Below are 20,922 nucleotides of genomic sequence, written 5' to 3'. Positions count from 1 at the left end.
GGCAGGAGAATTGTTTGAGCCCAGTAGTTCGAGACCAGCCTGGTCAAAATAGTGAGACCCTGTCTCTACAAAAAATTTAAAAATTAGCTGGAGGTGGTAACGCACACCTATAGTGCCAGCTATCGGGAGGTTGAGGTGGGAGGATCATTTGAGCCCAGGAGATCAAGGCTGCAGTGAGCCCTGTTTGCACCATTGCTTTCCAGCCTGGGCAACAGAGCCAGACCATGTCTCAAAAAAAAAAAAAAAAAAAAGCTATGGAATGCACCTCTGGAAGAGATACAAACCAGATGAAAATGGAGGACCCTGTCAGCAGAAAGGAAGCAGGTGCCGGGTGTATTTGTGCTTCCTCTCTTCAGTCCCTGGGGTTCCCTCCTGGGCCTGGCTGTGACCCATCTACCACACAGACAATCGATGGCCCTCTAGGCAGAGTGACAGGGAGAGGGCCGCTGACACTAGCTCTCTGTCAAAGCGATGTCCTCTTTGGGTCGGTCAATTTCTTTCCTTCCTGATTGCCTGCTAGGCCAAATGGCTGATTTTTTTTTTTTTCCTGCTTCTATGAGGATGCGCATATGACAGTCCATTTTGGTGGCACATGGAGAGGGCTGCAGTTAAGGGGAATTCTGGAGGGAAACCTGAGGTTTCTGGAGCACTAAATATAACAAGCAGTGACATAGTTGAACCAGTGATGTCGAAGCCAGCAAAGCCCCCATGTGTGGAGCTTGGTGTATTTCTGGTTCAGACAGAAATAGACACCTACCAGAGGGCATGATGGCATCAGTGCTTGCGGGCAGCCTTGGGCCAAACTTAGTCTCCATCCCTGCTGCCTGGCCCTCTCCTCCTGCCTTTTCCTCTCTGCTCCTTGGGGAGCTCCATCTAGCACCCGAGGATTGTGGTTTTGCTTCTGGCTGCAAGTACTTTCACATATCCTGTTGCTCATGAGAGGGTGGAGGGAGCAGCTCCTTGATCTCCCTGGGGAGGGGGTGGGCTGAGCCGCAGGAATGTGCTCTCAGAGATTTCTGCCTCTCCTCGAGCCTCCCGGTGGAGTGGTATTATCGCAGGAAAACTCCAGTTTGTTTTTGATAAATCATATGTACAGGCTCGGGGGTCCCTTCGTCTTGGGCTGCCTGTTCGTTACTTTGGTGTCACTGTGTTCACAGGGAAGGATGGAGACGCTGAAGGATAAGACCCTGCAGGAGCTGGAGGAGTTGCAGAATGACTCGGAGGCGATTGACCAGCTGGCCCTGGAGTCCCCTGAGGTAGAGGGAGGCTGGTATGGGACCCAACAGAGGCCAGCAGATGAGGCTTGTTAAGAGGCGCTTTTTAAGGATGCTGGCTTATTGGAAGTTTTGGCCAAATTCATCTCCCTTTTCTGTGAACTTCATCCTGGTTTGGACTCAGAGGAATCCCTGAGGCTTCAGACCAGTTCCTGGGAGTTCTTGGGAGTGCTGGGGAGTCCACTGCCTCCTGGTGCCTTCCCAGGACCCAGATACCCCAGGAGTCCCCACACTGTCGTTCCAGCCCAAATCTGGAGGCAGCTCCTCAAAGCACTGGTATGGTTTTGTACCCACTTTTCCCCAAGAGCCTTGTGCGATCCCATATCTCCAGGTGACTCTAAGGCTTCTAGGAGCCATTCTTGGGCTGAGATCTAGCTCGTCTCCCATTTGATCCTGTTTCTCCTCATAACTGGCCCCTAATCCTCTAGTTCTTAATCACAGACTCCTTGAGGAAAGAAACAGAATCCTGCCTGTGCAGAGATTTACACTTAATAAAGGACATTCCCTGCCCCTAGCATCTCCTGTGACCCTGGGATGTCCCCTGTGAGATGGGAGAGGTCAGGCCACACAGCCAGAAATATCCACGGTCACCCATTGAGTGGCTGCAGCTCATCCGTTGTGCTGGAAGCTCCCGCTTCCTATACCTAATGTGAGGGAGAGACACACACGCAAGCAATGCCAGCTCCTTTGATTTGCATTTGGAGTACATGTTTACTTGCACGGATGAGCAGGTATGGTGTGTCTCTTCTGTGAACTTGTATTTTGAAAAAAATAATGACGTTCCCCCATCCAGTGTCTCCGTGCTTCCATGCCATGGGGGGCGCCAGGCCGGTGAGTCCCCTGCTCCTGTTTCTGCTTGTGCTCTTGCTGCCTGCTGCCTGCTCTACTGCCTAAGTGAGGAATCTTAACTGGGGTTGGAGGTGACTGAACATTGGGTTGAAAAGATCTCCTGGTGGGGAGATTGTGAGGAGAGGTGGACACCATGGGCCACATCCTACCACCCTAGGGCTTTTTTAGTCCTCAGCAAGGACGTGGAGCAAAGCTTGCTTGTCGAAGCCCCAGGGCTGACTCAAATGGCTTGTGAGGCTGTGAGCTCTGCCAGGGCGTTGCTCCTGCCCAGCCTGGTGCTGGGCACAGTGCAGCTCTGCCTGCGTTCCTTTGTCACATATTAAGCACTGTGAGCATGGTGCCATGGGAAGCCCAAGGCCTGCTTCTAGAGTGTGCAGAGCTGAGCAGGCTGACAGAATCGTGACAAAGCAGAGAATCATGGAAAATGTGAGCAGAAGCGACCTCTTGGGCAGAAGGCACTTGAATTTTGTGGTGTGCAGCCACACCTGTCCCATCGATCTGAACTCTCTGAGGGGAAAAAACACTCGTGGATCAGGTAGAAATGAAGCAGGACAAGCCACTTAGACTTCAGACCATTGGCAAACTTTTTTATCGTGGGCTATAAGACAGTCATTGAGTCACAGTGGGATTGTGAGAAGAGACAGGAGCTCTCTATTAGTTCGGGACATGGACACGGCTAGGAGAGAAGGGAGTTGGCAGGGGCTCTCTCCGTGTAGAAGAGTGTGCATAGAGGGGTGTGTGGAGGGGAGCTGCTTTGGGTTGGGGGCCAGATATAGAAGGGAAACACCGTAACTTATTAAGGAAAGTTAGTCAAAATGGTTTTATCTCCCACTTTGCAACTTTTTTTAATTTTTGTTTTTTTAGGCAGGGTCTTACTTTGTCACCCAGGCTGGAGTGCAATGGCGCCATCATGGCTCACTGCAGCCTCCACCTCCTGAACTCAAACAATCCTCCCACCTCAGCCTCCCAAGTAGCTGGGACTACAGGTGCACACCACCACACCTGGCTAATTTCTAAATTTTACATAGCAACTTTTAAGAACTATTAGATACTTCTTGTTGAGTTTTGCTGTAGATTCAAAGAAAATTGATAATTATCTATAAAGGTTAGTAGCGACTCCTTCCTTTTCTAGCTATATATCTGTATGAGTATAGATTCTTCCTCCTTATTTCCACCAAAGTAATATACTAGGGCAGATTGAATTCAGAAGCAGCAAAACATGTGAAAACATCTTTTATTTACCTATTTTTAGTCTTACCTCTTTTCAGTGACTGGGAGGACTTCACACTGAACCCCTAATATGCATCGATATGCAATTTTCTAAATTGATGCATATTTTGCATATTTATGGGGAAGATGAGAATCTTTGTTGCATGCATAGAATGTGTGATGATCAGGCTGGGCGCGGTAGCTCATGCCTGTAATCCCAGCACTTTGGGAGGCCGAGGTGGGTGGAAGACCTGAGGTCAGGAGTTCGAGAGCAGCCTAGCCAACATGGTGAAACCCCATCTCTACTAAAAATACAAAAATTAGCCAGGCGTGGTGGCACGTGCCTGTAGTCCCAGCTACAAGGGAGCAAGGGAGGCTGAGGCAGGAGAATCGCTTGAACCCAGGAGGCAGAGGTTGAAGTGAGCCGAGATTGCGCCATTGCACTCCAGCCTGGGCAACAGAGCGAAACTCTGTCTCAAAAAAAAAAAAAAAAAAAAAATGTGTAATTAAGGTCAGGGCATTTAGGGTCTCCATCACCTTGAGTATTTGTTGTTTCTGTGTGTTGGGAACATTTTACGCTTCTTGCTACTTTGAAATATACAATACATTGTTGCTGACCATAGTCACCCTACTCAGCTGTTGAACATTAGAACTTACTTCTTCTATCTACCTATATGTTTCTACCCATTGACCCACTTCGTGGAGAAAGATGTAAGAAGGCTGTGGAGACAGGGAGCAGAAATAAGTAGGGCAAGATTTAGGGGAAAATGATACAGCGTCGATTTGTTGGTTTAGACGCAGGGAAAAGGCAGTGGACCTATAGGGAGGCCAGAGGATCCATGGGGCCCTGCAAGGGATGGGTGAGCAGGAGGGCTTTAGGCCTTTCACTCTGGGTCAGCCATGTAAGTAAAGTTTCCATGGCTAATAAAAATTAGATTGAGAGTCACGTATGGTGGTTTGTGCCTGTAGTCCCAGCTATTGGAAGGATGGGATGGGAGGATTGTTTGAGGCCAGCCTGGGCAACGTAGGGAAACCCCATCTCTACAGAAAATAAAAGAACTTAGCCAGGCGTGGTGGTGCATGCCTGTAGTCCCAGCTGCTGGAAAGGCTGAGAAGGGAATATTGCTCGAGCTCAGGAGTTTGAGGCTGCAGTGACCTATGGTCATGCTATTGCACTCATTCTGGACGACAGAATGAGACCATGTCTGTAGAAGGCAGCAGCGTGGGCTCTAGGCTGGACAGACCCTGGGCCCTACATCCCTGAACCCTGGCAGCCTTGTCTGGAGGGCTCAGGGAGGGCAGGAAGCTGTGGTATCCCTCTTTCCAATCTGGAGCACAAAGAAGAGGCAATGGGCCTGCCCCAGAGTGCAGGACCTCGGCCCCTGTAGCTGGGACAGCAGAAGGGGTAGCCTTTCCCCGAGGCCGCCTCTTCCAGAATGCCCACGGGCTTCCTATGTCTCGTGGGGCATGAGCCAGTCTGGCTTGGTCTGTCACATGCTGACCATGGTGGAGAAGCTGCACAGAGAAGCTGCACAGTGAGGGCCTGACTTAGAGTCAGTCTTGCTGAGCTGTTCCCTGCGCCCTGTGGCGGGTGCCGAGGCCTCTCTTCTGGTGCCCCATGCTGCTGACAGTGTACTGTCACTGCTGGCTCAGCATGCAGGTCTGACTCCTCAGCCCTCCTCTTAGGAAGAGGACTCCTTGGCGGATGCATGGGGCGTCACATCACAACAGCTGGCAAGGGTGCCTTGGCTTCTGTCTCACTGGCTGGCAGCGACGAAGAGCCTGGCAGAGGGGTAAAGTGCCGCTTGGCTTGGGGAAGTGTTTGCAGCAGGGAATGTCCAGGGTGGCCCCTCTGGCTCATCTGTGCAGCTTCTCTGCAGGACACATGTGTGGCATAGGAGGCAGGTCCAGGTCTCTCCTAAGTCAGTGGCATGGTCTGGTCCAGGGACCTGGCTCTCTCACCCCTCACAATAACTTTATTTGGGGCCTCATTATATGTCTTGCCTGTGCATCTGGCCAGGACCACCTGAGCCCACCATGGTAGGTCTCTTGACTCTGAAGCTTGGGGATAAGTAATTGGGACTTTTGATCCCCTCCCTCCTGGAAAGCCTCTGCTTTTTCTCATGTAAATTGGTCCACCCCCTCCTTGGGGCTCTGCACATTCCATCATGGATATCAATCACATGGCCTTGGGCGAGCTCTTCACCTTCAGCGCCAGGTTCCCATGCGTCTCCACCTCGTGGGCTGTGGGTTAAGGATTAAGTGAGGCGCAGAGTACTTCATTCAGGGTTTGAACCTGGCTTTGTCTGACTAGTTGAGGGCTGAGTATTGCCCCAAGGATGAGCCTCTCCGCCCCAAGGTGAGCAATGTGTCCCCGAAGCCCCTGACCCAGGCTGCCAGGAGGTTAAGGGTGATGGACGTTTTCCTTAGGTTCTGTTGTCCTGCCCTTTTAGGTCCAGGACCTACAGCTGGAACGGGAGATGGCACTGGCCACCAACCGGAGCCTGGCAGAGCGGAACTTGGAGTTCCAGGGTCCCCTGGAGATCAGCCGCTCAAACCTCTCGGATAGATACCAGGAGCTCCGGAAGCTCGTGGAGCGGTGCCAGGAGCAGAAGGCAAAGCTGGGTAGGGTGGCTCCTCTGTGAACTCAGGGTCCCCATTCAGGGTTGGACGGAGGCCCACCGTGTTCCCAGCCCTGTGCTAAGTGCTTTATGTATATTTTTTCACAACAGCCATAGAAGGGTGGGTACTGTTGTTACTCCATTTTATAGGTAAGAAAAATGAGGCTCAGAGAGATTCAATAACTTGACTAAGGTCACCCAGCTTAGAAATAGGTGGAATTGGGATTTGAATTGAGACAGCCTGCATCCTTTGCTGCTGCCGTTACCCTTGGCAGCTCAGCTTCTATGCTTTACTGAGCTGTTCCTGAGCTGCTCTGGGCTCTCTGTGTCCCAGGACCTGTCACCTTTGAAGGTGGGAGGGTGGTCCTTGTCTTGATGGTGAGAAAGCTTGACACTCAGGTTAGGTAACTCCCCTTGCTGGCAGGCAGAACTGGGTCAGTTGGGCTCTGAAGCCCAAGTCATTTCCCATCCCAGGATGGCGTAGGGTAGGCTTGGCCAAGGTCTAGGCTAGGTTCATTCGGGCCCTTCTCTGCTCAGGAAGGAACTGGACCAAAAGTGCTCATCAAGCCCACCCAGAAGGACCCTTTGGTGGACCCTGCTGTGGTGGCTGGGCCTGGATGCACACAGAGGGTATGCAAAGTGCCTTTAACACTGAATCAGGAAGCACTTTTCAAATGTCAGTCGTTCTGCCCTCCCTTCCAGAGAAATTTTCTTCAGCACTGCAGCCAGGGACCTTGTTAGACCTTCTGCAGGTGGAAGGCATGAAGATCGAAGAAGAGTCCGAGGTGAGAGGGCGAGGCGACACCCCTCTTCCCTGGACGGGGTGTCAGTCCCTGCAGCAGGGGCCCTTGGAAGGAGAAGCAGATGTCTGCAAAGCATGGAACAAGGGAGCTTTCGTAGATGGCAGAGGTGAAGGACATCTTTAGTCCTGGGGAGGCCTTTTGGGTATAAATAACAGGAACCCAGTCCCACTAGCTGAAGCAGAAACGGGTGACAGTGGACAAGGGCAGCTCGCAGCCCTGGATGGTAGGGCAGCACAGCAGGAGGCCCCCAGGGGCTGAGGCCAGCTCCCTACTCCACTCTCCCTGCTTCCTGCTTCCCTCCGGCCACCTCTTCAGCCTCTGTGGGCAAACTGGTGCTGTCCACTCTGTGTCTGGGTGGAAGAAGCTTCTAGGCCCTCCCAGTCCCTGGGCTAGTGCTCATCCAGGTGTTCAGCACATATATGCAGTGGCCACTGTGGGCCTGGCATGATGCCAAGGTGCCAGGACAGAGGTGACCACGACAGAGACAGTCCTCGCCTTCAAGGGACTGACATTCTAGTGAGGGAGACAGTGCATGTACCATATGTCAGCTGTGAGAAGGGGCGTATGGGCAGGGAAGAGGAGGGGGTGCCTGAGGCGGCGTGAGGTGGGAGGGCTGCAGCTGAACTCAGACCCTGGGGAAAATCAAGAGGCCTTGATCCCAGCTGCCCCTGTTGTCACTGGACCTTATGTCTTCCAGGCCATGGCTGAGAAGTTCCTGGAGGGCGAGGTGCCCCTGGAAACGTTCCTGGAGAATTTTTCCTCCATGAGGATGCTGTCCCACCTGCGCCGGGTTCGCGTGGAAAAGCTCCAGGAAGTGGTGAGGAAGCCCAGGGCTTCCCAGGAGCTGGCCGGCGATGCCCCTCCACCCCGTCCACCACCCCCGGTGCGCCCAGTCCCCCAGGGAACACCCCCTGTGGTTGAAGAGCAGCCGCAGCCACCATTAGCCATGCCTCCCTACCCTTTGCCCTACAGCCCATCCCCCAGCCTGCCTGTGGGCCCCACTGCCCATGGAGCCCTGCCACCGGCCCCTTTCCCAGTAGTGTCCCAGCCCTCCTTCTACAGCGGGCCTCTGGGCCCCACTTACCCGGCAGCCCAGCTTGGACCCAGGGGTGCTGCGGGTTACTCCTGGTCCCCACAGAGGAGCATGCCACCCCGGCCGGGCTATCCTGGGACCCCAATGGGTGCCTCTGGGCCTGGGTACCCCTTGCGGGGAGGCAGGGCCCCCAGTCCTGGTTATCCTCAACAGTCCCCATACCCCGCAACAGGAGGAAAACCTCCCTACCCAATACAGCCTCAGCTCCCCAGCTTTCCAGGCCAGCCCCAGCCCTCAGTGCCCCTGCAGCCCCCTTATCCCCCCGGGCCCGCCCCTCCCTATGGGTTCCCACCACCGCCGGGGCCTGCCTGGCCTGGGTATTAGACACACTCCTGGCCCTCGGCCCCTCCCTAGTCCCACCCACGCTCAACCTTTGGCCCAGCCATCGCCGAGATTCGAGGGTCAACTGGAAGTGGCGTTGGTGCTCCCTGTGGACTTGCGTCGGCACCCAGAGGCCTTGGAGGGACAAGGCACTGGGCGGTGTGACTGGTCATGGCACTTGCTGGCCTTCTGGCCAGAGGTCCTCCTGGAAGCCCCTCCTTTCAGTGCCTGGCTGCAGCGGTGCTAGCCAGGCTGGAGTCCAGCACCTCTCGCCGGTGTCTGTGTGAGTGAGCGCATGTGCGCATTTATGAGCATCTACTTGCGGCTGCACTCAGGGCCATTTGAACCCAGTGCAGAGTTATCTCTATGAGGAGGCCCCGGGTCTCCAGCCCCCTCCATCTCCCCTGGGGTTTGGCATATTTGACATGGAGCCCCATGCCAAGGGATGCAGCTGTTGGTGTCTGTCCAGTCCATTCAAGGCTAGCCTGCCCATGCACTGTGGCAGGGGTTGGATTGGAGGGAGAGAACAGAGTTGGGAAAAACAACAGGTTTGAGTCCTATAAAGCCATAATTTAACTCCAGTAGCTGATGTCAGACAAGCTTGTCCTATGTCCTATTTGAGTGGCAGCAGCGCCAGCCCAGCAAGAAGGCTGGGGGTTGTCAAGGTTGTCCCCAGACCTTGCTTGCAGTGGTTGGAGAACCCAGGGGGCTGCCTTGGGCCCTCTGGCCAGAGGGAAGCGGGCAGCTCTAGCCCTGGAGATTGTGGTCACATTGGGGCTTGTTTAGGATTGGAGGGCCAGGTCACCTCCCCAGCCACCCTCCCTTCTCTCCTCTGGGGTCCCCACTTTAGGGCGACTTTGCCCGAGGCCCACGCATCCATCCACTCCTTTAGTGCCTTGAATCTCATTCACAAGCAGCCCCCTCCCTTCCCCTCCCCTTCTCACTCTGTTGATGTAATCCTCCCACCCCCAGTGTCCATCCTAAGACAGGCATCAAAAGAGGCCCTAACTTTACTTCCCAAATGGTGCTTTTTAAAAAACACCATCACTACATTAGGGGCAATTTTTTCACACCTCCCTGTCTTCAGAATGTAAAGGGTGGGGATTATGTCTCTGTTTAATATGCAGCCCCCTGCACTGTGGGGTTTGGGGCATGTTCAGTAATAAGAATGAATACAATAGACAAAGGGGGTGTGATGAGTGTTAACTTGGTTGTTCCAGAGGTAAACCAGGTCTCAGGGAAGAGCCTGGAGCTGCTATTGCTTAGGAAGTTGTACGTGCCTTGAAATGTCCACTACCTGAGGACGCAGCATCTGGTGGGCCCGGGGCTGCTGGGGCCAAGGAGGGACCTTGACCTTCTGGTGCCTGCCCCTCCCCGGCCTATGTGCCATCCGCGTGACGCTAGGTCAGCGCTGCCGGTTCTTTACCAAATGTGCTTGCTTCTCCTAAGTTATTTATAAAGAGAAATCACTAATGGACTCTACTGGTTTGAGTGCTTCTGAGCTGGATGACCGACCGCCTGTATGTTTGTGTAATTAATTGCCATAATAAACTTTGATGAGTCACATGTGGTGTGGTGTTGCTGGGTTTGAGTGAAGACGTGGCTGCATGTGGGTGCCTTGAACTCTTCTGCAGCCTTCAGATCGTGCTCTCTGGAGGGGCCTCTGTGATTCACATCCCAAAGCCCCATCCGTCTGGATGTCAGCCCTCCCTTGCCCGCTCGCCCCAGGGCTGGCCCTGGGAGTATTTACCTTCCCTCTCCCGCTCTTCCGCTTTCTTTCTTAGCCGTTTTCCTATTGGAGCCTACGTTTGCCTGGTCCTGGACTGAGAGCAATGGCATGCAAGGCCACAGGATGCCACGAGGGGGCGTCTGGTCCTCAGCCTGCTCGGGAGGTGCTGCGTTCCTGCCACCTGCCGGGCTGGCGGGATGTCGGCGTGTGGGCCTGTCTGTGAGCCATCTAATTCTAACCTGGGCTTGCAGGATGGGCTCAGAGGAACAGCAGGCCGCTAAACTGGCTGCGGCACCAACAGTCTTCTAGGCCTTGGCCCAGCCTGCCTCCCTCCCCAGCGTCGCCTCTGCTGCTGAGCTGCCTATCCCGAGGCCAGGGAGGGCGTCTTCAGCTCAGCAGGAAGGGCAGCTTGGAGGGAGTCTGAAGACCAGGCTTCTAACAGTCCCTCATGTCAGCCCTCCGCCTCTCCTTCCCCGCAAGGTGACCGGGCGGCCACCTGTGGAGGATGCCTAGAGATGCCCTGAAGTCGCTATGGCTGCAGGCTGTACTGTGCTTTCAGGCGCATTATGTCCTGGAGTCCTCGCAACAGCCCTTTCATCCCCAGTTTAAATGGGAGGAAACCACAGGGCAGGTGGTTCGGTGAGCGGGTTGCACAGCCTTAGGAGGAGGTGGGACTTGGACTGGGTCGGTTGGATTTCAGAGGCTGCAGGGGCTCCTTCCCCCTGCCTTGGTGGTGCCAGAAGTGCCTCCCGAGGACAGAGCTGAGAGTCTCTGGGCTCTGGTCAAACGTTTACTGCCCTTCACCCCCAGCTGAACTCTGGCTTTGCCTTGCAGGTGTCCAAGGCTGAGGACACAGGACATCAGGGACAGCTGGAAGCAATTTGGCTTTGTAGGAAGAGGCTGCAAATCTCCCTCTAGGCGCATAGTCAGGTCACCTGCCTTGGGTTGGTGCCAGAGTGGTGGCAGGGGGCACGGAGGGGCTGACTTTCTAAGAAAGGACCATCATGAGCTGCCTCAGCTGGTCAGCCCGCGTGTCCCACCCTGTGCTCTTTGCTTCCCCCTCTCCCTGGCCACCTCACCTCAGAGGGCAGCACACACAGGCGCTCCTCACGCCTCCCTCCCTGCATCCCTGGGAGATCACTGGCTGCTTTTCACCAGACTACAGTGGGCCTCCCGCTGCAGGGGGACAGACCCTGAGCATCAAATTTAGAGTCTCAAGAGATTCCTAGCTTAGGACACTTTGCTCTGCTGGATGTGGTGAGGCCATATAAATGTCATGTCCTTACAGCTCTCTGTTCCGCTCTGTACTCCCAGATCCCTGGGTGCATGATAACTTTTTTTTTTTTGAGACAGAATCTCACTCATCTGGCTCCCAGGCTGGAGTGTATTGGCGCCATCTCAGCTCACTGCAACCTCCGCCTCCCGGGTTCAAGTGATTCTCCTGCCTCAGCCTCTTGAGTAGCTGGGATTACAGGTGTGTGCCACCATGCCTGGCTAATTATTTGTATATATATGGTTTTTTTGGAAAAAAAAAAAAAAAGCCTGTTGCCCAGGCTGGAGTGCAATGGCAAGATCATGGCTCACTGCAGCCTTAAACTCCTGGCCTCAAGTGATCCTCCTGCACCAGCCTCATGAATAACAGACTATAGGCATGTGCTACCATGCTCAGCTAATTAAAAAACTCCTTTTTTTGGTAGAGCTGGGGTCTCACTTTGTTGCCCAGGCTGGTCTGGAACTCCTGGCTTCAAGCAATCCTTCCACCTTGGTCTCCCAAAGTGCTGGGATTACAGGCACGAGCCACCATGCTTGGGCACATGGCAGTGTGAAAGCTAGACTTTTTGGTCCTTGGTATCCTTGACCTAATGTGCTAGAATCAGGGGTTGCACGCCCACTCATTGGCCAGGTCACATGATTTACGCAGGAACATAATTTACGGAATGGGCAGGGTTTGAGGGACACACAGGTGAGTGGAAGGGCTGGCCCTGCTCTAGCAGGTTGCTGGGATGCAGGAACGGGGAGGTTGTCCAGGTCACGGCAGCGCGTCCTCTACCAAGGGATGTGGACACCAGCCCCCGAGCACTGGCTGGGGGAGCAGTGGGTTGCCTTCACCAGCCAAGGCAGGAACTTGACAATGGCACGTTGAAGACTAAAGTGCTTCTATTCCATCGCATCACCAAACATCTTTTTGAAATGCATCACCCAAGTCAGCCAACCCTTGAAAAACAGTTTTCTAAAGGCTCATTTCTCCTCAACTAAACTCTTTATTTTTGGTTTGGTTTTTAAGTAGGCCATGGTTGCTTTGAGGCCACTGTATGGTGGCCAAACTATAGATGAAAGAGCTTTTATTAAAAAAGGCACTGATGGGAGACACTGGCTGCCCCCGAACCTTTGCCCTCCCTAAGAGCAGCCTCTCAGTTCCCTTTTGAGGAGCCCCCTCACCTCCACCAGATATGGGAAGACAAATGGGGTCCCTGTTTCTGGATTCCCAGCATGGTCGGGGGAAGATCTGTGACCTGGGCTTGGCCACGGGGGCTCTCAGAAGGCAAGGCCTGGTTGGAGGGTGTTGGTGGGGGCAGAAAGCTGAGCAGATTCTGGGAGCAGCCCACCCCATATCCTAGTAACTCCCTTTTGCTCTTCCAGACTTATTATGCGGCTTGGACCATTGATGCCTGTGCTCCCAGGAGATACAGCATCAAATGGCGTGGAGAAAGGACCTGTCTTAGGATGTGTTCCCATGTTGCTTCACCTTCTTAGGGAGCCGCCGCAGTGAGCTGCGCCTGGCCTCTCCCTTGATCAGACCCGAGGCTCCTGGGTAGACCTCCTCTTCTCACTTGCAGTTAAGGAAGCCGAGGCCCCATGGGATTAGGTGTACGTCCAAGATCTCCAAGTACTAGAGGAGTCTGTTTTCGTCAAGGGAGTTATTCAAACCAAAGGAACATGACCAGCCCCATCTCTGACTCTTGGGTTAGAAGATGAACTGTGATGGACTGAAACTACCTCAGCTTGGGACTTTTAATTGCTGGGTGAAGCAAAAAACCAAGTTGGTTAAGGTTTACTAGGCGCCCCTTTGTGCCGGGCCCTGGGTGGCACTGGTGCCCTGTGGGCTTGACAGCCAGTGGAAAGGAAGGTGTCTTTAGATGAGGGGGTTGGGGAGGGGAGTCATAAGACAGAGGGAGTGGGGTGACGCTGTGGGTCAGGGTGGTGCCCACCCAGACCCCTGGCTGGCAGCTGCGGTGAATGTGCAGAGCTGTCTTTGTGCTCAGGTGAGCAGCCTCTGACCACCACGGCTGCAGAGGTCTCCGGGAGTCCCCTTCCTGTCCTCCCCAGAGGGATCCGCAGGGGTGGATGCTGCACAGAAGAGGCCAAAGCGCTCGATTTGTCAGGAAGGAGGAAAAGCACTACTTACAAAAAACTATTCAAAATGCACTCGCCCAGCTGTGAGCTTCCTTGTCACTCCTTACCAGGGACAGAGTCTGAGGAGAAAGCCGATTTCACTGAGACGCCGCTCCCCAGCGGGCAGGGAAAGGGGGCCCCCTTCAGACACCCCCGAGTCTCTAGTTGGAAGGCTGCTTGTTTTGGGGCTCTGCCCACCACAGCTTCCACAAGTGGAGGGGCGGCCGAGCTGTTGTGCAGCAGAGTGTGAGCTGGCCTGCCACTCGGGGCAGCAGCGCCTGTCCGGAAGGCTTCTGGCCTCTGTCCATGTTCTGGCCGGGGTAGAAATAGGGACATGATTTCAAGTGAAGAGCGGACAGTTTTCTCAGGACAAACAGGTCTGGCTCTCGGCTTTTTGCTCATGGATCCCAGTTCTGTGGGGTGAGAAGGAAACGTGTTAGAGGAAGACACCGCAGAGGTGATGCAGGGAGGTCGGGGACAGGACCCATGCTCTGGGCTCCATCTTGGGGACGGCTGCTGTCCTGAGCCAGGGGCTCCTTCTGCCCGCTGGCAGGTTGGCAGCTCTAGAGGGGTGTGACTCCATCACGGAGCTCTTAGGGACTCTGCCTGTGTGGCCTTCCGAATGGAGTTTAAGAGTTGATTGTTAAAGTTCATGATTGCTCTGCTCTAATTGTCAAATCAGCTCGTATAACCTAAACAGCTGACGTTTGTCTTTCCCTTTACAAGAATCAAGATGCTGGGGGTCCCCTATTCATGTATGGGCAGGGTGGGACTGAGGGGAGGCATTGAGTGGCTGCTGCTCACCCCCAGGACTGTGGGGGACCCTGGGGTGCTGGGGTCAGGCTGGAGACGGGCTCACCTTTACAGCCTCTGAGCCCCATGCAGATCATAGTCACTGTCGGAGGAGTTGTCAGGCTGCATGGAGGAGCGATGCAGAGCCCCTTCCAGAGCTGGGGAAAGAAAGGACGCTGTTTGCAGAGGGTTTTTGACTCCACAGAGCCCCTTGGATCCTAGAGCCGCTGCCCACAGTGGGTTGGAAGATCACAGGGGCTTTATGAGCCGGTGACAACCCCTTATCTGTTTTGATCAAATCAGCCAAACGTTCACTAATGATGCTGAACTCCAGGCTCCCTGGGGCTTAATTGGTAGTGCCAGTCTGGGAGCCTTTAGTACAGCGCTCCTGCAGCCCACTTAATGGCTCTCTTCTAGCCCGGAGGAATCCAAGGGGCCTCATTTACCATCCAGGCCCCTCAAGGCCCTGAAGGGAAACAGGCCCATTAGGTCACAGCAAGGCTGGGGTTGATGGCTTTCTGAGTGCATTCTTCTCTCCAGATGAGTAGTTTGTGGTCTCAAACGGGACAGCTGGGGCCTGCAAAGGCTATATCCCTTCCGTACCCCTGCTGCATCCTGCGATGTTTGATCCCCTTGCACCCTGGGGTCTCCATTCTGTCTTTGGGCCATCACCCGACCTTCAAGGGCATCACGTGACCTGCCTTGGCGGCCTGCTGCAGCCCTGCCTGCGTGCCTGGGAGCACCCGCTGGTGCTTACCTGGATAAGCTGACAGGTGGGAGTTCCTGGGAGGTTGGCTGTATTCGTTATCCACGTGGGAGGCTGTGGGGTTCTCAGCATGGGATCGGACGGTTGCCGTGTGGTTGCGATGGAAAGACACTGGGCAGATGGTAGGAGACAGTGTCAGACTTGTGGCTGTGTCCTCCGTCTCCTTCCCCAGCAGGTGCCCAGAACTTTAATCTCCTATTCCCATGATGTTAGCGGGGAGAGGACAAAGGCACCCACAGCCCCTTCAATGCATCCCCCTCTCCTTTCTTCCTGGGAGGTTCATGCTAGCAGGATCAGCAGCAGACTTTTAGAGCAGGTTTGGGTAACCCAGCAATCTGACTGGCAGGGTGGGGCCTTCCGTGAGTCGGTCATCAAGCATTTACCAAGCAGGAGACTGGAGCACAGGTGACGGGACAGATCTGCTCCCTGCCCTCCAGGAGCTGAGGGCCTGTATGTTATTAAGAAAGTTTCCAGAGCCTTTCTTAATAACAAATTCAACAGAGCCCTCTTGAAGGATTTGGCTGTGGACTTGGGAAGGGGGAAGAAGGCAGAATGGGAGGCAGGAAGAGCGCCATGTCTCCATCCATTAGGGTGTCTCTGACTGTGGCTGGAAGGAGGGAGGATGAAGACCAGGGATGGTGTTGGGCTGGCTGCACCAAAATGTCCTAATACTGGCCCTGTAAGTTGTTCCATGATGAAAATAACTTGGACAGCCCTTCTTAATGGATCCTTGCTTTGGAGATGGGCAATACAAAAATGCCCATTAAGGTTCTGATAAGTCCTGAAATAGCTATGCTTAGCTGTGCCTAACTCATGGTTTTCCAGATCTGTTGATCAGGGAGGCCTCTTGTGAGTGCTGCCTGTTAACATCCACTGGCTACTGTGTTGGGGAATACTGCTGGAGGAGGTGAGGGCTGCTGGGGACCCTAGAGATGGGGCGAGGGACAGAAAGGATACCATGAGATGTTTCTACACTCTGAGGCTTCAGCGGTAGAAACCGCTCAGCCATCAGCCCATCAAGAAGCCTCCGCCCTCCCTGGTGTGGGGACGTCTGTTGGCCACAGTCACATGTCAGACAAGCACCGTGGAGATCAGAGGCTTCAAGCAGCCACAGGCTCCGTCTGTGGTCAGCAGAGAGCCTCGACTCTGCCTCCATGGCCTCTGTCCAGGGCCTGAGGGAGGCTCCTGCCTCCGGGGACACTTACTGTTTTGGTTCATTCCCGTTGGGCCAATCCACTGGCGCTGCTTCTTCTGGCGGACTGGGCAAGAGACAAGAAAGGCACATCAGAGTGGTGGGGGCAGGTATGGGTGGGGGCAGGCAGGGGTGGGGATGGGGCTGGGCCTGGGAGGGAGATGGTGGCGGCAGGTGCAGCTGAGGGCAGGGCTGCTGGGCTCTGCCCCCTGGAGTCTCTCGTAGGCCTCAGTTTCCTAACTTGCTCGGGAAGGGAATTGCAGCCATCCTGTGCCGAAGGAGCAGGCCGAGGATGGTGTAGAGGTGCCCGGCTCCCCAGGAGAAAAGACCACAGGCGTTTAGAACTAGACCTGGGCAGGCACTAGGACCTAACACTGTCCTGCTGGGCCCTCTGTTCCCAATCTCTCCCCTCTCACTTCTTTGTCTGAATAATTTCCTCTTAAGTTCTGCAAGGCAAGGAGAACAACCCCCCGCGTTCACAAGGTGTGCGATTGCCCATTTGGTAGATGAAGAAACTGAGGGTCAGAGAGAGGAAGTGTCCCAATCAGCATCTTGGGCAGTGGTAAGTGGTGGGGCTAGGCCTGGGATGTGTGTCTCCTACCATCAGAGGCTGTACTGAACACCCTCTGGGCCTGCCACAGCCTTGGGAATGGCCACACCTTCTCTCTGACCTGGAGTGGGTCTCAGCTGGGCTCCAGAGATGGACAAATCAGCAATTGCAATTTTGTTTACTTTGTGTTTCTGTTACTTGGGGCAGAAAATGGCTAATGGGCAGGAGAGGGGAAGGCTGGGTGGTGAAGCAGAGGTGTCCTGCGTGCCCAGCTCTCTGGAGGCATGACCCCTCCTCCGGAGGACTCTAGTGCAGCCCCTCCAGTCTCTGCACGTGGGAACGGAGCCACTCAGGGCCGTGACACCTACATTTCTTCACTAGCTTCTTGTAGGCAAGGGGGCCGCACACGACCAGCAGCACCACCAGGAGCACCAGGGCCAGGATGATGCTTGCCACCGTGCCTGCGGCCAGGCCTGCGGGGTTTGGATCCTGGCCTGGGGAAGGAGGAAGAGTTAGGTCAGTCCCAGTCCTGGGGGGAGAAAAACTGTGGGAGGGAAGCTGCTGGCTGCCTGGCTTCCGCCGTCATCCTTGCTCATCTGAGAAATTCACCAGCATGCACGGAAGGCAATGATCTATTTGGCTATCCCTCCATCTATCTCTAGGATTCCCTGCTACCCACTCACCCACCCACCATTTGTCATCTAACAGTTGATCATCTAGCTATCATTTGCCACACTTGTTATAAGCTATTTAATTTTCTACCATTTGCCAGTTATTAGTGATCACCTTGCCATCATATACCATCAGAAACCAATATATGATTGCATACCAATAGCCAGCGGGGCCTCTATTCTTGATCCATCCATCCATCTGTCCATCCGCCCTTCTGTCCATCCATCCATCCATCCATCCACTCACCCATCCATCAGTCCACTCATCCATCCATCCATCCAACCATCCATCCATCCACCCACCCACTGATCCATCCATCCATCCATCCATCCATCCATCCATCCATCCATCCATCATCCATCCACCCACCCACCGATCCATCCATCCATCCATCCATCCATCCATCCATCCATCCACCCACCCACCCACCCACCCACCAATCCATCCATCCATCCATCCATCCATTTCTCTCTTTTACTTCCCGTTTAGTTACCATTCATGTAGCAAATATGTGCTATCTACCATTTGATTTTCTGGCTTCCACCTTGCAAAAGTAGAAGGTAGAAGGAGAAGTTCTATGACTCATCAGCTGCCTGACAGTGATCTGCCTGTTGCTTGCCCTGTCTCCTATTATTGTTCATGCCCATTGCTGTCTGAGTACTCTTGCTCCCTAGCCTTCCAATTTCCCTGTCTCCATCCTTTCTGGGTCTCTGGGACTCTCTGTCTAGCTCCCCAGGGCTTCCCTTTAGAGACATGCACCCTGACCGGGTCCTAGAGGTAAAGTAGTAACTGCTTCCACCCACTGTGGGCTGTGGCCAACTCACATGTGACAAACACCTTCTTGCAGTAGGAATTTCTCTCCCAAAGTTCGTGGCACTGGGACAGCTTCTGATGGGGACAGAAGAGCCCCCGGGATGTTGGGTCACCAGCGTCCAGCACTCGATAGGAGTTGACGCTGCCACACTGCTGCTCCCGGCACACCTCCTCCCACCGCAGCGAGCTCCTGGCTGAAGAGCTGTCACACAGGGCTGCCCACTGAGCCCCCTGGCGCACCTCCACGGTGCCTTCACAGATGCTGCTGCCCCCCACCAGACGGCTCTGCACCTTGGGCTGGAAACCTGAGAGGGGAAGCAATGGGAAAGGAGGGTGCAAGTGTGAACCTGAGCCTGTGTGCTGCTTCCTGGGGCCCCATGCCACTGGCAAATCGGGGCCCTGGCTAGGGGAAGGCACTGTGTGGGACCACCAGGAGAGGCAGCCTTCTTTTCTGCCCTTCCCTCCTTCTGGCACCCTCTGTGGCTCTTCCCCTGACCCAGCACTGTCTCTGGTGCCTCTGGGCAGCTGCCAGCACCATCCTGAGACACAGCAGCATAGGCGCTTTCTGCAGGGAGGCTGTTGGCAGCCACCAGCAGGGAGTCGGCTCCATGCCAGGTGGAGATAAGAGAAGAGCGTGGGAAATAGGCTCCACCTAGGTCCACTTCTCACTTGGAAACATCTTGTCATTATCCCGCTGCACTTTGGGAAGAAGGAGGACTTTTCAGAAGAGGGAAACTGAGGCCTGGGGGTTGGAAAGACCTACTGCCCTGAGTCCTGGCAGTTCACAGTTGGGACAGATCGTGCTGCCCAGGCACTGAACGCTGAGGGCCAGGCTTTCAGCAAGTGGGGCCTGGCTCAACAGAGGCACACATTTATTTCTGCCTGCCAGGGTGGGGCCTGGGAGTCTGTAGCTGAGGCCCACACATGCTCAGTTTAGAGAGAGTTGTGATCTCACCAGCTTTGCCCAGTTCCCATAGCAACATCCACCTTCAAAGCCCTAGTAAATCTATTTAGAAGAAGCTTCAAAGGCAAGAACCCTGGGTATGGTTTTACAGGTTGTAGCCTGCAGGAAGGATAGTAGCTGAGGGGCCGGTGGGACTGCGAGCCAGCCCCTGCTCTCCTCATCAGGCCAAGAGCCCCTTGGGAGCTGCTTCTGCTGGGGGAGGGGCAGCATTTTACTAATTTACACCAGGTACCCAGCGTGCTTGCAGGACAGCCAGGTGGCCCCGAGCAGTGATTCCTAGATTTGTGCACATAAATCACTGAGGACCTTGCTGAAAAGTGGATTCTGATTCGGAAGGTCCAGGCTGGGGCCTGAGCACCTGCATTTCTAACCAGCTGCTGCTGTTCCAGGACCACACTGAGTCACCAAGGCTCAGATAACAGGCTCTAGAGTGACCCTGCTTGAACAGAAATCCCAGCAAGTGCTCCATAGTACTGGGCGAGAGGTTTAGCCTCTCTAAACCTCAGCCTCCTCACTGTAAAAAGGGATGATAATAATAACACCCACCTCCTAAGGCCATGTGAAAAATTTAGAATGTCCAGGAATGGTCCCTGCATGAAGTAAGCTCTCGGTAAGTACAGTGTGGACTTCACTGAGAACACTTCCGGCCATGGGAACCCACTACTTCCGGAGGGAGGCGTACTGCGAAGTTTCTCCGTTTCTCCCTTCGTTTCAGCTGTGGTTTCTTCCCTTTAGTTTTCTTCATTGATCCTGGTTTGGCCCACCGGGGTCTCACAGACTCAGTCTCACCTGCCTCCTCCCCTCAACCACACAGCGGCATCATTCTCTTTACCTTGTCAGCACACGGCGCAGGACCCTCTGCAGAGCCCTCTTGGGGGCTGTCTCTGTTTCTCTCTTTGCCTGCTGTCCTCTGACTCCCGGGCCTCAGGGACCTCCCACCTCTCACCATTGCTGCAATGCCAACTCTTGGGATTTACAAATGCCCTTCCTGCAAGGCCCACCCCTCCAAGTGCCCCATCTTTGGCACAAGCCATAATTCCTACCTAGACATTTTTTTTTCTCCCCCAGACCCACGAAGAGACCTTGCCTCCTCCTGGAAGTCCTGCCGACTCCCCTTCCCCATGTGGCAGCTGAGCCAGCGGTTCCTTTGGGCTTGGGGTGTGTAGCTTTGCAGAGATTACCAAGGCATTGAGTGTGGATGCATCCTCCCCACCCCAACCCTTGTTACCTCTTAGAGGCCAAGACCAGGCCTCCACTTCCCTTGTATTCTCCATAGTGCCCTGTGCTGCACACATGTTCCCTGACCTTCTGGGATGCTCTGTGACCCCACCTAGGGCAGCAGAAGGTGTCATGGGGCTTGGCCAGGTCTCACTTACCTGAGCAAAGGAGGGCAAGAACTCGGCCACTTTTCTGGGGCTTGATTTTCCTGAAGCAATGCTCCAGGGAGGTACAGCTTGAGTTCTGGATCTTCCATTGGATTGGCAAGGGCTGGTGTTCCCGTGGCTCCCCTGGGTCTTGGGCTCTGCCTGCCTCAGTCTCTGGCAGATGCTTCAAGAAGGAGCCACACTGGAGGTTGTTGCAGAGGAAGTTCTCCAGGTCCTGGGTCTTGTCCTGGGCCTCATAGCTGATGGTACCCCCCAGGCTGCCGCTGTAGAACTCCACCACGCCGGCACAGTGCTGGCCGCCAGACTGTGCCACCAGCTGCAGCCTGGGAGGAGCTAGGAGAGGAGAGAGCAGGAGGGGGAGCCACCCTGAGCGCCGAGGGCTTCCTGGGCACTCCTTGCTGTTTGGCCCCAACTTGTGGACAACTACTGACTAACGCTTAGCCTTGGGAGGTGATGGGGTCCCAAATATTGCGTAGAACACACCAATACTAAACAT

The 20,922-nt window shown here is 54.6% G+C and overlaps 2 protein-coding genes across 6 annotated transcripts in view, besides 5 other annotated features; one reads left to right on the top strand and one right to left on the bottom strand.

Annotated features, from left to right (window-relative positions):
- VPS37C (VPS37C subunit of ESCRT-I) overlaps nt 1-9,736 on the top strand; it is a 31,170-nt gene extending 21,434 nt beyond the window's left edge. For 2 of the 4 annotated variants that reach the window (NM_017966.5, XM_005274077.4), the window contains exons 2-5: nt 1,158-1,256; nt 5,786-5,957; nt 6,656-6,738; nt 7,454-9,736. In NM_017966.5, coding sequence (NP_060436.4) covers nt 1,164-1,256; nt 5,786-5,957; nt 6,656-6,738; nt 7,454-8,173 — 1,068 coding nt within the window. In that variant the 5' untranslated portion in view covers nt 1,158-1,163 and the 3' untranslated portion in view covers nt 8,174-9,736. Of the gene's footprint in view, nt 1-1,157; nt 1,257-5,785; nt 5,958-6,655; nt 6,863-7,453 lie in introns of all 4 variants that reach the window. The other 2 variants (XM_047427178.1, XM_047427179.1) reach the window with 1 other exon arrangement.
- Nucleotides 1,882-2,382: an enhancer, noted in NCBI's record as "H3K4me1 hESC enhancer chr11:60905083-60905583 (GRCh37/hg19 assembly coordinates)". NCBI's record gives its function as "activates a minimal SCP1, AML or CMV promoter by ChIP-STARR-seq in primed H9 embryonic stem cells {active_cell/tissue: H9 hESC(primed)}" and the evidence as "EXISTENCE:reporter gene assay evidence [ECO:0000049][PMID:30033119]".
- Nucleotides 2,383-2,883: an enhancer, noted in NCBI's record as "H3K4me1 hESC enhancer chr11:60904582-60905082 (GRCh37/hg19 assembly coordinates)". NCBI's record gives its function as "activates a minimal SCP1, AML or CMV promoter by ChIP-STARR-seq in primed H9 embryonic stem cells {active_cell/tissue: H9 hESC(primed)}" and the evidence as "EXISTENCE:reporter gene assay evidence [ECO:0000049][PMID:30033119]".
- Nucleotides 4,205-4,720: an enhancer, noted in NCBI's record as "H3K27ac-H3K4me1 hESC enhancer chr11:60902745-60903260 (GRCh37/hg19 assembly coordinates)". NCBI's record gives its function as "activates a minimal SCP1, AML or CMV promoter by ChIP-STARR-seq in primed H9 embryonic stem cells {active_cell/tissue: H9 hESC(primed)}" and the evidence as "EXISTENCE:reporter gene assay evidence [ECO:0000049][PMID:30033119]".
- Nucleotides 4,721-5,236: an enhancer, noted in NCBI's record as "H3K27ac-H3K4me1 hESC enhancer chr11:60902229-60902744 (GRCh37/hg19 assembly coordinates)". NCBI's record gives its function as "activates a minimal SCP1, AML or CMV promoter by ChIP-STARR-seq in primed H9 embryonic stem cells {active_cell/tissue: H9 hESC(primed)}" and the evidence as "EXISTENCE:reporter gene assay evidence [ECO:0000049][PMID:30033119]".
- Nucleotides 9,902-10,196: an enhancer, noted in NCBI's record as "tiled regions #3147 and #8872 (exact overlaps); K562 Activating DNase unmatched - State 5:Enh, and HepG2 Activating DNase matched - State 8:EnhW". NCBI's record gives its function as "activates a minimal TATA promoter and a strong SV40 promoter by Sharpr-MPRA in K562 cells, with weaker activation in HepG2 cells {active_cell/tissue: HepG2 | K562}" and the evidence as "EXISTENCE:reporter gene assay evidence [ECO:0000049][PMID:27701403]".
- Nucleotides 12,141-20,922, bottom strand: part of CD5 (CD5 molecule) — a 33,890-nt gene continuing 25,108 nt past the window's right edge. For both annotated transcript variants that reach the window (NM_001346456.2, NM_014207.4), the window contains exons 5-11: nt 20,418-20,759; nt 18,089-18,382; nt 16,961-17,086; nt 16,056-16,109; nt 14,842-14,961; nt 14,152-14,242; nt 12,141-13,705 (exon numbers count right to left, since the gene is read on the bottom strand). In NM_001346456.2, coding sequence (NP_001333385.1) covers nt 14,154-14,242; nt 14,842-14,961; nt 16,056-16,109; nt 16,961-17,086; nt 18,089-18,382; nt 20,418-20,759 — 1,025 coding nt within the window. In that variant the 3' untranslated portion in view covers nt 12,141-13,705; nt 14,152-14,153. The remainder of the gene's footprint in view (nt 13,706-14,151; nt 14,243-14,841; nt 14,962-16,055; nt 16,110-16,960; nt 17,087-18,088; nt 18,383-20,417; nt 20,760-20,922) is intronic.

Source organism: Homo sapiens, chromosome 11, assembly GCF_000001405.40.
Source record: "Homo sapiens chromosome 11, GRCh38.p14 Primary Assembly".
Taxonomy (NCBI): domain Eukaryota; kingdom Metazoa; phylum Chordata; class Mammalia; order Primates; family Hominidae; genus Homo; species Homo sapiens.
The sequence above is the reverse complement of the archived record's forward strand: the minus strand, read 5'-3'. Positions and strand labels throughout refer to the sequence as shown.